Source organism: Homo sapiens, chromosome 2, assembly GCF_000001405.40.
Source record: "Homo sapiens chromosome 2, GRCh38.p14 Primary Assembly".
Lineage (NCBI taxonomy): Eukaryota > Metazoa > Chordata > Mammalia > Primates > Hominidae > Homo > Homo sapiens.
In genome coordinates this window covers 109534959-109549994 of record NC_000002.12, presented here as the reverse complement: position 1 = coordinate 109549994, position 15036 = coordinate 109534959, and the positions used below count along the sequence as shown (strand labels likewise).

General features: G+C 41.0%; 2 protein-coding genes across 36 annotated transcripts in view; one reads left to right on the top strand and one right to left on the bottom strand.

Annotated features, from left to right (window-relative positions):
- Positions 1-7196, top strand: part of SEPTIN10 (septin 10) — a 71168-nt gene extending 63972 nt beyond the window's left edge. For 12 of the 35 annotated variants that reach the window (NM_001321503.2, NM_001321511.2, NM_001321508.2 and 9 more), the window contains one exon: positions 3758-7196. In NM_001321503.2, the coding sequence (NP_001308432.1) occupies positions 3758-3809 (52 nt within the window). In that variant the 3' untranslated portion in view covers positions 3810-7196. The remainder of the gene's footprint in view (positions 1-3757) is intronic. The other 23 variants (NM_001321506.2, NM_001321505.2, NM_178584.4 and 20 more) reach the window with 4 other exon arrangements.
- RANBP2 (RAN binding protein 2) overlaps positions 1-15036 on the bottom strand; it is a 1122820-nt gene that overhangs the window by 292307 nt on the left and 815477 nt on the right. The gene's annotated exons all lie outside the window — the stretch shown is intronic.

Below are 15036 nucleotides of genomic sequence, written 5' to 3'. Positions count from 1 at the left end.
TTAAAAGTAGTGTTTACAAAAGATACAGCATTGTACAGTAGTCCCCCTTTACACTCAGTATGGCTTTCTGAGGTTTCAGTTACCCATGGTCAACTACGGTCTGAAAATACTACAATAAGATATTTTGAGAGAGAAAGAGACCACATTCACACAACTTTTATTACATACATTGTTATAATTGTTCTATTTTATTATTAATTATTATTGTTAGTCTCAACACTGTGCCTTAACTTTACTATAGGTGTCTATATATAGGAAAAAACATAGGGTATGGTACTACCTGTGGTTTCAGGCATCCTCCTGGAGTCTTGGAATGTATCCCCCGTGGAAAAGGGGGGACTATCGTACCATACTGATGACTTAATATTCTTAAGAGAATTGGTGACTATTGATAGCACAAAAGATCCCTTGTTTTTAATTTTTTGAGAATTTGAAAATGTATTTGAATTAACTGCCTGTCGTAGTGAATAATGGAACCATGAATGCATGCTTCATGTGTATGGAATAGTTGTTGATAGCCAGAGCTGGAAATGCCACCCAGTGTGAATAACAGTCACATTCACACTTCCCTGCCCCCTTGTTTAATGTTTCCCTCTTTGTAGTTTTCCTGGAATTTTTTAGTCAACCTCATGAATGATGTATAAAGTGCTGTGTGACCTTTCAAGATATTTTAATATTCATGTGAGGTATGCAACCTCCATTTGAGTAACCAGAGAGCTATCTCTAGTCATGTGATAGAAACCTGCCCTTGCTGCTTCCTTTCCAGACTTTGTCCCACTCCTGCTCCTCTCCCACATCACCGATGCACACGTGTGCAGAGAACTGCCACTCTTTGTTTGTGCCACCGATTTGAATGACATCTGGGGAGTGTGCCCTTTAAACACACACACATACCTAACATGTAACTTTTTTAAAAGCAGGAACCATTTAAATAAGCAAATACTAAGGAACTGATGCTTCTCTGAAAAGGCATCCTCTGGAATAAAAGCATCTTATGTTAGGAGGGCCTTAATCGATTATCTGTTTTAACCTTGTTTCCCTTGGAATACTTCTCCTATCAGGTGGTCACTGGCTCACAGGACAACCTATTCCATATTTGGAACATAACAGTTTTATTAGACCAGAGTTTAGCTCTCTGGTTTCTTCTCTCAGTCTCTGATTTTCAGTGAAATATTTCCTCAAATATTATGTCTTTTTTTTTTTTTTTTTTTTTTTTTTTGAGATGGAGCCTAACTCTGTGGCCCAAGCTGGAGTGCAATGGCGCTATCTCGGCTCACTGCAACCTCGGCCTCCCGGCTTCAGGCAATTCTCCTGTCTCAGCCTCCCGAGTAGCTGGGACTACAGGCGCACACTGCCACACCTGGTTAATTTTTTGTATTTTAGTAGAGACGGGGTTTCCCCGTGTTGCCCAGGCTGGTCTTGAACTCCTGAGCTCAGGCAATCCACCCACCTCGGCCTCCCAAACGTCTCCCCCTTTCTAGACAACTTGGTGTCTTAGAAAAAGATAACATAGCCAGGCGCTGTGGCTCATGCGTGTAAACCTCCGTGAGCCAATGAGCCTGTAAACCTCAATGAGCCATCACGCCCAGCTATGTCGTCTTTTTCTAGACACCAAGTCCTGCTTTGTTTGCATGAATGCCAGGTTTCTACCCAGAACTAAAATGTTAATGTCAGATTTACCTAACCAGATCAGAGGACCAAAAATAAGGTTATCTTTTAAAATGTAGATTCTAGACACTGTGGTTGTGTTGTTAGAGGGCACAGCACACAGCTGATTCCTATGGAGCTGGCTTAAGACCCTAGTTTTTTTTTTTTTTGAGGTAAGCCACAATTAAACCAGGTCCACCTACATTCTCCTTGGACCTTGTCTCTCTGAACTGCATGCAGAACTTCACATAACTTTCATCTGTATTTCCTCTCATTACTAGTTCTTCTACATCTTTTAGAATTCTTTTATGAGCAGTATTGTGTGCTGTGCTGGGGGTATAAAAATGAAAAAGACATAGCTCCTAAGTAATCCTCAGGGAGACGTTGCTCCCACAGTTACCCCAGCACATGTGTGCTAAGGGTTTCTCTTTTGCACCTGTAACAGAGCACAGGACACAGAAAGAACTACCCAGGGTGGCAGCTGGAGCAAGCTGAGTTTCCTATTTTTTGTTATTAACAATGGCTAATATTTATCGAGTGCTTACTCAGTGCCAGCCATCATGGTAAAAACGTTAGATAGATGTTTTCTTTTGGTATATCCCAGTTGTTTTAAAGCTTCCTTTTTATTTGTAAGTTTCCAGAGTTTTATGCCCTTCATAGCTTTGAGAAATATGCCTTCTATGATCCATATAGGGCATTCCTTAAATTGTGGAACAAAATAAATTAAAAGGCCTGCCCCAAAATTGACATCTAAGGTGACATTGCTCCCTTTATATGGTTTATCAAGATGATTTTCAGCCCCAAGGAGGTGAAAAACTGCTGAATTGTATTCTTTAAATAATTTTTTCTTCTGCTTTTTTCACTTAAGAGAAATCTCTTGAAACTCATTTAACAGTTGTATACGGGAAGAATAACCCCTATAGGTTCTTATTGGAATGACCCCTTATTTTCAGATTAACCAAAAAAAAAAAAAAAAAACAAGTTTATTAGCATGTATATTTCACATATACAGGGGTGATACAGTCAATGAGTAGTTCTCAAAGAGGCGACTGCATTCTACCTTCTATAGCATCTTCAACAAAGAACAGTTAATTTTTACAGAAATGACAAGACAAAGGAAAAGGACTTGGAGTCTCTAGAGGCAGCAACTTGGAGGAAGGCACATAGCTGGCAGATGAAGGCTAGTCAGTAAAGCTAGTTAATGTAGAGCTGTCTGGTACCAGTCTCCAGGCCCAAAAGGGTCTGAAGTTGTCTTTGGTGGTTAACCTTTGTTCTCCCTGGTTGGGGAAGGGGGCTGGATACCTTTTTTCTTTGTACATCTGTATCCTGCCTTTAGGCGCCTAAAGGGAGGTCAGAGAGCTTTCCTGTATCTGCTGCTTCTTAGTTGCCCTCAGCTCAACAGTCCTGCACATTCTGCTCTCCTACAGCTGCATCAAATGTATTTAGCATTAATTTATTCTTTATCTTTATTGGCTATGTAGGCAATGTTTTTCCTATTATAGTGTAAATTCTACTATGATGAGTATTTTTATATGTAAAGCTTTCTCTGAATTTAGGATTTTTTTAAGCCTAGATCTCAGGACATTGAAAGACTATGGAAAAATAGAATACAGTTTTAACATTCTTGACATAGTTGACAATTGACACTTGCTTTCCAGTGATGTTTACTAGTACAGTTTTCAATAACTGTTTACTGCATATATTTTATTTGGAAAATAGTGTTGTTGTTTTTTTCCTTTCTGGTAATTTCTTTCTATACTTTGCATCTCTTATTTTTATTGAGCATGGACTTGAGAGACTTTAAGAAGTTTTGTAGGGAAAATACACACCGAGAAAATAAAAACTCTAGGAAAAGTTCACAATGTTTTAAAAATAGTTTTGTACATAAAGCTATGATTTTTGCATGGGAACTCATTTAAATTAAAGTTACCAAGGGAATTCCATATGTAAACTTTTCCTTGAACTATGAACTTCTGAGACTTCAGAAAGATTTTGACTGTGTAGGTTATTCTGTGTTGCGCTATGGGGTCCGCCTTTGTGTTGCTGAGCTGGAGAGCGTGCCTCTGCTGCCGCGCTGTGTCAGTAGTGGGGATTGCACTTTTGTTTCCAGCTACAGGCCAAATTTGAGCACCTTAAGAGACTTCACCAAGAAGAGAGAATGAAGCTTGAAGAAAAGAGAAGACTTTTGGAAGAAGAAATAATTGCTTTCTCTAAAAAGAAAGCTACCTCCGAGATATTTCACAGCCAGTCCTTTCTGGCAACAGGCAGCAACCTGAGGAAGGACAAGGACCGTAAGAAGTAAGAGGCCCAGCCACCCTCCCTGGCAGCCCTGCCCACACTTGTCACATTGCCCTGTCGGATCTTCCTAGCGCTTCTTACTTCTGCTTCCTTATGCTTTGTCTTCCTTCTCCAACTAAATGTCAGCTCCTGGAGAGGAGAGACCTTGTCCCTCTTGTTCACTGCTGTTTCCCCAGCATCCAGAACAGCACCTGGCACATGTTATGTGTTCAGTATTTGCCAAAATGAATGAATGAACAAAATAAAAATACATCACAGTGTGAAAAGGATCAGTTAGCTGGGGGAAAATGGCTGCTCTTATTGAATAGCCCAGCCGTGGCCCTAGTACACAGCTAATGGCTGCTGACCTACCATGAGTTATTTTGAATTTCATGTCTAAATAAAGCTGTGCCCTTTGTTGGGGAATTATAGACATAAGATAGTATTTTATTGAATTAATTCTTAGGTTCAGTTTTTTAGAACAAATTCTACTGATACTGATTTTGTGAGAATTTTTATTTTAATAAGGGAACCAGGCTGTCGATTCGAACTCCTGTGCATTGATGTCAGAGCTTGTGAAACCAATGGTGGACGTAAAGACGCAGAGAAAGGTAGAGAGGGCCACAGTGCAAGGGGGCAGCCATGAGTAGCATGTGGATGATAATCGCAAGGCGTGTAGGTTTGGGGTATGTGTTAAAATCAGTTACCCAAGTTTTAGAAAATAAGTTTATTTTTCCTTTTTGATAATTTCCTTCTGTACTTTGTGTCCCTTGTTTTATTTCTCCCACTTAAGTATCCCTGTCGGTTTAACTATTTGGCTCTTGAGGAAATTCATCATGCCTTGTTCTATTCAGAATGCTCATTTGGGGGACTCTGCCTCAGTTTACTCTAGCTACCTCTGTGCTAGCAGCGTTGCATGCTCCCATGTTCCCCACAGAGCAACACATCTGGTTTAATGCTCTCACTGCATCTATTTCAGACCCATTTTCAGAATATTGCAACTCAACTTTAAAATAGGAAAACATAACCTTGGCCCATTGGTGGCTTTCAATTTTTAAATATGGAGAAGTAAACCACAGGACTTTGGCAGATTTTATTGGCTTATATATTTTACAGGTATTTTTGTTTGTTTGTTTGTTTTTTTGGAAAAGAGGAAGGAATTCTCATGTATGATCTTTCAATGCAAGCTCTCCAAGGGCATGGATCTTTATCTTGTTCATTGATATAGCCATCCCCAGAGCCTAGAGCAGTTGTCTGGTACATAGTAGGCATGCAATTATTTTTGAAAGAATAAATAGTATAAAAGCTGTATTTTATTCAAGCATTGAATTTAGAAAGATAAACTATAAATTTATTACTGCTTTTCAACATGCTTTGGATTTTAAAGCTAATGGATCTTTTATTAATACCTTTTTTCCTTTCATCTTAACCCAGTGTTACTAAAATTAGATTTCCCATTTTTTCCCCTATATGAAAGATAATTTACATTTACCTTGTAAAAATTATCACCCTGCTCCACTTGAGAACCCTGCTGTTGTTTGCAAAATCAGGACCAAGCCCATATTTTTTGAGAGCTCTCTAGAAGAATTTATCTTCAAGAAAATATGGTTTGGTGTTTTTGGTTTTTTCTTTTCTTTTTCAAAGTCCCATGGCCAGATATCCTATAATATACTAGATGCATGTTTGCTAATTTTTACTTGAATTTTTTTTAAATTGTACCAATCAAAAGGTTCTTTTTCTTTCCAGCTCCAATTTTTTGTAAAACAGAAGTTCCAGAGCACAGAAGGTCATCATCACAAGCAAACTTTATTAAAAAAAAACTAGAAGTGTGCTTTGATTTTGCTGTTATTTGTTTTATCACTTCTATATTTGGTGAACAGCCACAGTTACTGATATTTATGGAAAAGTACTTTCAAGTACAAGGTCAATACATAAGCCAGAGTGAATGATACTACAAGTTGAGCATCTCTAATTCAAAAATCTGAAATCCAGAAGCTTCAAAATCTGAATCTTTTTGAGCACTGACTTGACCCCACAAGTGGAAAATTCCCCACCCGACACCTTTGCTTTCTGATGGTTCAGTTTAAACAGATTTTGTTTCTTGCACAAAATTTTTGTATAAATTACTTTCAGGCTATATGTATAAGGTGGATGTGAAACATGAATTATGTAATTAGAGTCGGGTCCCGTTGTGTATATGCAGATATTCCAAACCTGAAATCCAAAACACTTCTGGTCCCTAGCATTTTGGATAAGGGATACTCAGCTTGTACCTATATATTCATATATATTCACTGTTGTTAGAAATGTTTAAGTTGCTGTTCTGTGATGAATCTAAATCTTTTCTCTTGCTACCAAGCTATTGTCACTGCAGTGCATTATACCAAAGAGCGAAGTCAGTGCCACTGAAAATACAGAACCCATTAATATCGTGGCTATCTGATTACATTTATATTCCAAGATGAACCTTTTTTATATATGCTAAAAATTTTGGGGAATATGTTTTGGGATGTATTATGGAGCTAAAACTCTAACCTCTTAATAGTTTTATAGAACTTAAAAATTTTTTATACAATTACCCAATTGGTGATATGATCTTAAGCTTTTGTGTCAGATTATTTAATATGATGACTTCATGCTTTATTATGCCTTATTATGGCTGACGTATTACTGTGGTGAAACAAAATATCTTTAAAAGTTAAAACATCCAGATATATAAGCTATTTTTTCCTAAGGATAAAGTACCTTTGAGCATGAGTGTATCACAGCTTTCATTAGGAAAACTTTTCATTACATACTTGTTTAAACTCTGTCTTCCAGGGTAAAAATAATAAGGTTGAATCATTTTATTAAAAATACTTTTTAAGAAAATAACTATGAACATCTGAATATTAAAGATATAAAAATGCACATAATTCATATTTCAGGTGGTATTTGCATTCAGTGCCTTACTGGTATTCTCAGAACATTTTAATGATTTCTAACATTTCTTAACAGTCATAGATATATACATTTTCATTTTTTGTACTTGAATATTCTAAATAAAACTGACATTTACTCTTGACAAATAAAACATATATTTACTAAAATGTGTTTAATTTTCCTTTCTGAAAACTCTCATTTTAAAAACGTTCATTTAATTATGTATTTGAATTATTTTGGAGATGAGGTATTTTATGAGTATTTTCAGACAATGAAACTTATTAGTCTGTGTCAGATTCTGAGCAATCATAGAGTCATCTAAGTTGTAAATAAAACCTTGCATAGCACAATTTATCTGTATACTTTAAATTTTATTTTTGCATTTGAAATTCACAGATGTCTCTCAGTCTTTTAAAACTTCAGTAAATTAAATTATACATGTCATAGAACAAGCTCAGAAGTTTCTTCGCAAGATCAGTGACACCCAGGTTCTGGTAGGCAGGGAGTCCTGGAGGGTAGGTGACCTGAGGTACAGAGCCAGGCCAGCATCACGGTACTTAGTGCCAGCTGAGCAGACTGTTCACAGATGGGCTCGATGACACTGCGGGAGTGTTTGTTACATATGTGGCTATATTTGACCATACTGTTTATAAAGCAGCTCTCCTTAACTCTGAAGAACGTACTTTGAAGTGTGAGATAGGTTGTTGGAATGGTAAACAGTTATTCAAGTTTCTGGTTGAAAAGAACGTAATAAACCTGCCTGAGACTCTCTAGACTTAACAGCAGGGCGGTCGTTTTGTACTGCTGATGACTGCTGTGAGAAAGCCTCACTCCTGCTTCAGCCGCAATGTGAATTTTTAATTCATTTCATATATTTGGGTTCCATGTAAGATTTTATTTTAAAAGAGTTGAACAACAAAGAAAAAATTTTTTAATGACTTCTTCTTACAAAGCTAATTTATCATCAGGCACAAGATTAGAAAATGAATTATCCACTGAGGCATAATCTCCTGGGAATAAAATAAAGCTAGTCATGTTTTGTTAAAAATTTTTCCCATTAAGCTTATGAAACAGTTGTCTCTAACTAACAGCCGTTAATCCTGGTACGTACTCCCTCCGACTTTTAAAGCCCTTTCACATAGACTAGGATTTGAACTTCAAAGCAACACAAGGAAAAAGCATTACAGGGATTATTATCACTATATTGTGGATGAACTCAGTGTAAGCCCCGTGTTCCTATTGGGCCAGGAAATGGGGACACACACATGACTCAGGTCATCCATGCATCATGGAGCAGCCGGAGCAGGCTGGACAACCAAGTAGGTTTGGAGCAGGGCACTCTCAAAAGGGTGTCTGCCTCTCACAGATCACAAGGAGCCGTCCAAAGAAGTGACTGGTCCTGAAGGACTGGAGCAGTTTATCCAGAGTATGAAAGAAGGAGGCATTCCTAGTACAAGGCACAGCATGTTGTGTGCACTGGAAGGTAGCTGAGCACCATCAGAGTACCAGCAAGGAGTGGGGCTCCGGTAAGGGCCAGGTTTCAGAAGCAGTTAAGGAATGGGTTTATAAATCCCAGGAAAGTTTATAAATCCCGTCTGGCAGGCAGTGGGAGCCATTGAAAGGCTTGGCCTCACAAGGTTAGGTGTTCTCCAGGGTTTATGGGAAGGAGATACTGGCAGGCAGGGGGAGCTGGGCCGGGGCAGGCCAACCCTTTAGAGATACAATAGACTCACCTAAGGAGTGTTTAAACAATACTGATGTAGAAAGGAATGTATAGTAATGAAAATGGTAGCTGTATGGATAAATCCAAATGAATAGCCCATATAAAGCAATTATAACGTCTTACAGACTTGAAAATACATAGTGAATTAAAATATGAGAAAATAGTGGCATGAAAGTTAGGAATGGGGTAAATCGAGGGATCTCAGGTTCTTGCATTAACTGGGAAGTGGTTAAGAGTCCCAGTCACACAGGTAAATCAGAATTGCTTCTTGCCATCTCTAGGGTAACCATGAAACATGGTGATGTGTGTAACTTCCAGGCTAATAGGAAAACTGGTTTTAAAATGCCAATACAGAAAAAAGTAAGAAACTGCAGGAAATAGCACAGGTATGACAACCAGAACGCATGTAGTAATATGGTAGATTTAGACCCAAATGTATCAGTAAGTACTTGGATTACATGCTCAATTTTTTTAGATAAGTTTCCTTAAAAAGCAGCTGTATGTAGTTTACAAGAGAACAGTCTAGAACTTTGTCTTTATAGACGAGAAAGGTTAAAAGAAGATGGGAAAAGGTACATCATGCAAATTTTAACTAAAAGCTAATGTGTAGCTTTTTTTTTTTTTTTTGACAGGGTCTTGCTCTGTTGCTCAAGCTGTTGTGCAGTGGCACAGTTATAGCTCACTGCAGCCTCAAACTCCTGGTCTCCAGCAGTCCTCCTGCCTTAGGCACATCACCATGCCCAACTAATTTTTTTTTTTTTTTCCTTTTTTGGTAGAGACAGAGTCTCACCCAGGCTGGTCTCAAACTCCTGGCCTCAAGTGATCCTCCCACCTCAGCCTCCCAAAGTGTTAGAATTACAGGCATGAGCCATTGTGCCTGGCCATATTTTCAGTATATTAAGAGAACTTGAAGGCCAAAAGCATTGCTAGAGATGAAGAGAGACCTGTAAAATAAATAGCAGTTCTCAACTATACATCCCTATGTACAAAATAATAGCTTCAGCATATTTAAAGCAAAGATTGATAGGAGTATAGGAAAATACAGATCCACACTTAGTGAGAGATTTAAACATACCACTTGTGTATGATAGGACAAGCAGACTGAAAATTAGTGCAGATATGGGAGACTTGAAGAAAACAAGCAACAGCCTTGGCCTTGTGAGCGTAGATAAAACAGTGCACCCGGGGAATGCCTCGAGCACATGTGGAGCATAGAGTTGACTGTTTTACTATAAAGCAAGCCTTAATACCTTTTAAAGGAATGAAAGATTATGTTCTTGATCATAATACAGTTAAGGTAGAAATCAATAATAAAAAGCTAAAAAATTCCTGTCTCTAAGGGAACTTGTTTTGCTCAGCACCATACAACCCAGCAATCCCAGTCCTAGATGTGTACTCAAGAGGAATGAAGACACATGTCCCACCAGGACCTGTCTAAAAGTTTGTGGCAGCCTTCATCATCTGCCAAAACCCGAAACAACCCAAGTGTCCATCAACTGGTGAACACATAAACAAGTTGTGGTTCATCCATACAATGAAAGGGAACAAGCTACTGGTGCATGCAAAACCACAGATGAGTCCCAATCATATGCTCTCAAGCCAGATGCAGAAGGCTACATACAGCATGATTTCATTTATGTGACATTTTTTCCAAAGCAAAACTACAGGGACAAAACTGGTTGCGGCCGGGCACGGTGGCTCACTCCTGTAATCCCAGCACTTTGGGAGGCAAGGTGGGCGGATCACCTGAGGTCGGGTGTTCAAGACCAGCCTGGCCAGCGTGATGAAACCCCGTCTCTAGTAAAAATACAAAAATTAGCCTGGCATGGTGGCACGTGCTTGTAGCCTCAGCTACCTGGGAGGCTGAGGTGGAAGAATTGCTTGAACCTGGGAGGCAGAGGTTGCAGTGAGCCAAGATCGTGCCACTGCACCCCAGCCTGGGTGACAGAATCCGCCTCAAAAAACAAGAAGCTGTGGTTGCCAGGCTTCACGGGTTGACTTCAAGGTACACGTGAAACCTTTTGGGGTGGTAGAATGTTCCATTCCATTTCTTTATTGTGGTGGTCACATGGCTACATACATTTGTAAAGACTCATAGAACTGTGCACTCAATATTTTTTTTCTTTTTGAGACAGAGTCTTGCTCTGTCGCCCAGGCTGGAGTGCAGTGGCATAATATCGGCTCACTGCAACCTCTGCCTCCTGGGTTCAAGCGATTCTTCTGCCCCAGCCTTCCGAATAGTTGGGACTACTGGTGGGCACCACCACACTCAGCTAATTTTTGTATTTTTAGTAGAGACGGGGTTTCACCATATTGGTCAGGCTGGTCTTGAACTCCTGACCTCATGAGCCGCCTGCCTTGGCCTCCCAAAGTGTTGGAAATACAGGCGTGAACCACCGCTCCCAGCCAAAATATTGTTTATGATATGTAAATACCTCAGCAAACCTGTTTTCTTCAAAAGTAAAAACAAAAAAGTATTATCACTGCAAATGTGGTAGACATTAAAACCTTGTCAATACATTTGAAAATACAGAGGAAATGACAAATTTGTGTAGAAGATTAATGTGTTAATATAAGAATAGAAAATCTCATAACAAAGACAATGCAGGCCAGCTGTGGCGGCTCATGCCTGTAATTCCAGCACTTTGGGAATCTGAGGGGGTGGTTCACTTCACACCAGGAATTCAAGACCAGCCTGGCCAACATGGCGAAACCCCGTCTCTACTAAAAATATAAAAAATTAACCAGGTGTGTTGGTGCATGCCTGTAATCTCAGCTACTCAGAGGCTGAGGCACGAGAATTGCTTGAACCTGGGAGGCAGAGGCCGCCGTGGTAAGCCGAGATCATGCCACTGCACTCTGGCCTGGACGACAGAGTGAGACTGTCTCAAAAATAAAAGACACGGCATAAAGTTCCCATGAAGGTCAGGCTGAGATAACTTTATTTGTGAATCCTTTGAGACATTTAAAGAAAGCCCGTCTTTCACAAACTCTCCCTGTGGTCGGCGAATAATGGCCCTGAGAGACATCCACAGCCTTATTCTTGGACCTGGGAATATGTTCCCCTTCCTGTCAAACAGGACTTCACAGATGTGGTTAAGGCTGCAGACCTTGAGATAGAAAAATGATCCTGGACTGTCTAGGTGTGGTTGGGTCCTTGAAAGCCGAGAGCCTTTTCTGGTTGTGAGCAGGAGGGAGATGTGACAGCTGAAGCCAGGTCAGAGAGTTACAATGCTGCTGGCTTGGAGGGTGGAGGAAGGGGCTCCTTCCACAAGCCAGGTAGTGGCTGGAGGTGGCCTCTGGAGCTGGGAGGACCAAAGAAAAGGATGTCCACCTAGAGCCTCCAGAAGGAACACAGCCCTGCTGACAACTGGACTTTAGCCCAGTGAGGCGTGAGTCAGATTTCTAAACTCCAAAACCATAAGATAAATTTGTGTGTGTGTGTTTGTGTGTGTGTGTGTATGTGTGTGTGTGTTTTGAGACAGGATCTTGCTCTTTTGCCTGAGCTAGAGTGCAGTGGCACAATCGTGGCTCACTGCAACCTCTGCCTCCTGGGCTCAAGCAATCCTCTCACCTCAGCCTCCCAAGTAGCTGGAGTCCCAGGTGGAGATCCACACCTAACTGGCTAAGTTTTACATTTTTTGTAGAGACAGGGTTTCGCCCCGTTGCCCAGGCTTGTCTCGAACTCCTGAGTTCAAGCAGTCCGCCCGCCCCAGCCTCCCAAAGTGCTGAGATTACAGATGTGAGCCACCGCACCCAGCTGTCCCTAAACATTTGTATTACTTTAAGCCACCAAATTTATGGTAATTTGTTACGGCAGCAATAGAAAACTAATGCATCCCCAAGAACACGTTAAAAAAAAAATCCAAACTCATAAGACCAGTATGACTTTTCATTTCAAAGCCTGGTAAGGACATTTGAGAAAGGGTATTTATAGTCTGGTCTCACTCATCAGAAATGCAAAAATCCTAAACAAAATGCTAATGAAAGGAACCCAAGAATATATAAAAAGGATAGTACCTCATGTCCATGTTGGTTTATTCCAGAAATGCTAGGTGGTTTTAATATTAGGAAATTAATGTAATTCATACTACAAACATTAAGGGAAAATCATCGTCATCCCCATAGATACAGAAAATATTAATAAAAGCATCATTTTAAGACTTAGAAAATTGACAAGAAAAATCTCTTATAACACTGGCTAGAAGGAGACTTTCTGATTTTGATAAAGGATATCTACCCCCAAACCCAATAGCAAGCATCATACTTAATGGTGAAATATTGAAAACCTTCTTCTTTGGGAACAAGGCAAGGATGGCCAGAGTTATCCCCTTACATTCAGCATTTTACTGGAAGTTGTAGCCAGTGCAAGTGTATTAGTCTGTTTTCACGCTGCTGATAAGGACATACCCGAGACTGGGCAATTTACAAAAGAAAGGTTTAATTGGGCTTACAGTTCCATGTGGCTGGGGAAGCCTCACAATCATGGTGGAAGGCAAGGAAGAGCAAGTCACATCTTACATGGATGACAGCAGGCAAAGAGAGAGCTTGTGCAGGGGAACTCCTCTTTTTAAAGCCATCAGATCTCGTGACACTTATTTACTATCATGAGAACAGCACAGGAAAGACGTCCCCATGATTCAATTACCTCCCACTGTTTCCTCCCACAATACGTAGGAATTCAAGATGAGCTTCCAGTGGGGACACAGCCAAACCATATCATTCCATCCCTGGCCCCTCCCAAATCTCACATCCTCACATTTCAAAACCAATCATGCCTTCCCAACAGCCCCAAAGTCTTAACTCATTTCAGCATTAACTCAAAAGTCCACAGTCTGAAGTCTCATCTGAGACAAGGCAAGTCCCTTCCACCTATGAGCCTGTAAAATCAAAAGCAGGTTACTTACTTCCTAGATATAGCGGGGGTACAGGTATTGGGTAAATACAGCCATTCCAAATGCGAGAAAATTGGCCAAAAGAAAGGGGCTACAGGCCTCCATGCAAGTCTGAAATCCAGTAGGGCAGTCAAATCTTAAAGCTCCAAAACGATCTCCTTTGACTTCATGTCTCACCTCCAGGTCATGTGATGCAAGAGGTGGGTTCCCATGGTCTTGGGCAGCTCTGCCCTTGTGGCTTTGCAAGGTATATCCTCCCTCGTGGCTGCTTTCATGGGCTGGCATTGAGTGTCTGCAGCTTTTCCAGGCACATGGTGCAAGCTGTTAGTGGATCTACCATTCTGGGGTCTGGAGGATGGTGGTCCTTTTCTCACAGCTCCACTAGGCAGTGCCCCAGTAGGGACTCTGTTTGGCTCTGACCCCACATTTCTCTTCCACACTGCCCTAGCAGAGGTTCTCCATGAGAGACCCCCCCCCCACCCCCACCCACTGCAGCAACTTCTGCCTGGACATCCAAGTATTTCCATACATCTGAAATCTAGGCAGAGGTTCCCAAACCTCAATTCTTGACTTCTGTGCACTTGCAAGTTCAACACCACATGGAAGCTGCCAGGTTTAAAAGCCCCAAATTCTGTTCTATTCCCAGTGCAAAGACTCTCTTCTCCCTAAATTGCGTCCTTGGCTCTTGGCTCCGTTGCACCCACTGTCTTCTGCCTTGACAGCTGCACTGACATTTACTTGTGTGTACTCAGGCTCCTGCTGCCACATACCTATGCTAATTGTGGTTCAAGGTCAAGGTCCACTTTCAAGGTCCACTCTCTCTTGGGCTCATGCAAATGCCCTTGTGCCTTTGCTGAGGCCCAAGCAGCATCACATAAGGGCCAGACTTTTCTTACATTCCTGGCTGTGCAGAAACACACCTGTGGAGACAGCCCCTACAGGTAGCATCACCCACAAAGTTAAAGCAGCTTGTGCCCTGAACCCTAAGTTTTCTAGCCCAAGTCCAGAAGTTGGAAGCCAACTACACAACTCAAAACAGCCCACTTGGCCTAGTACAGTCACAGGACACCAAGCTACAGCCCTACCCGTGTCAAATGTGTGAAGCCGGAAGTCTGAGGAATGTGCATTCCATGGGAGGCATAGTGACTGGGAGGGAGTTGGGAGGGCTCTGGGGGCTGGTGCATTTTTAGGTCTTGGTGTTGGTGACGGTTCTGTGAAGATTCATCAAGCTGGCCATGTACATGTGCACTTTTCTGCCACGTTATACTTCAACAAAATGTTTAGAAATAAAGGAGGGATAAAGGGAGAAGAAAATGCCAGCATACTGAGGTCCACACACTAGGTAGTTCCTTTTGGTCTGCATCGTCCATTGTTTGCATTCTCTCTCCACGCTTCTGACCAGTGCCCTAAGTGGTAGAATTTTCCAGGGGCCTAATAGCCTCCATCTTCCTCATCTGGGTTCTGAAAGAAATTAAACAGTGCACCTGGAGGTGAAGTGTCAACTCGATCACTGATAGAGGCTGAGTGAGTTGAGAGCCAAATGGGCTTGCTGAGTGAGTCCAGAGTCCTGCA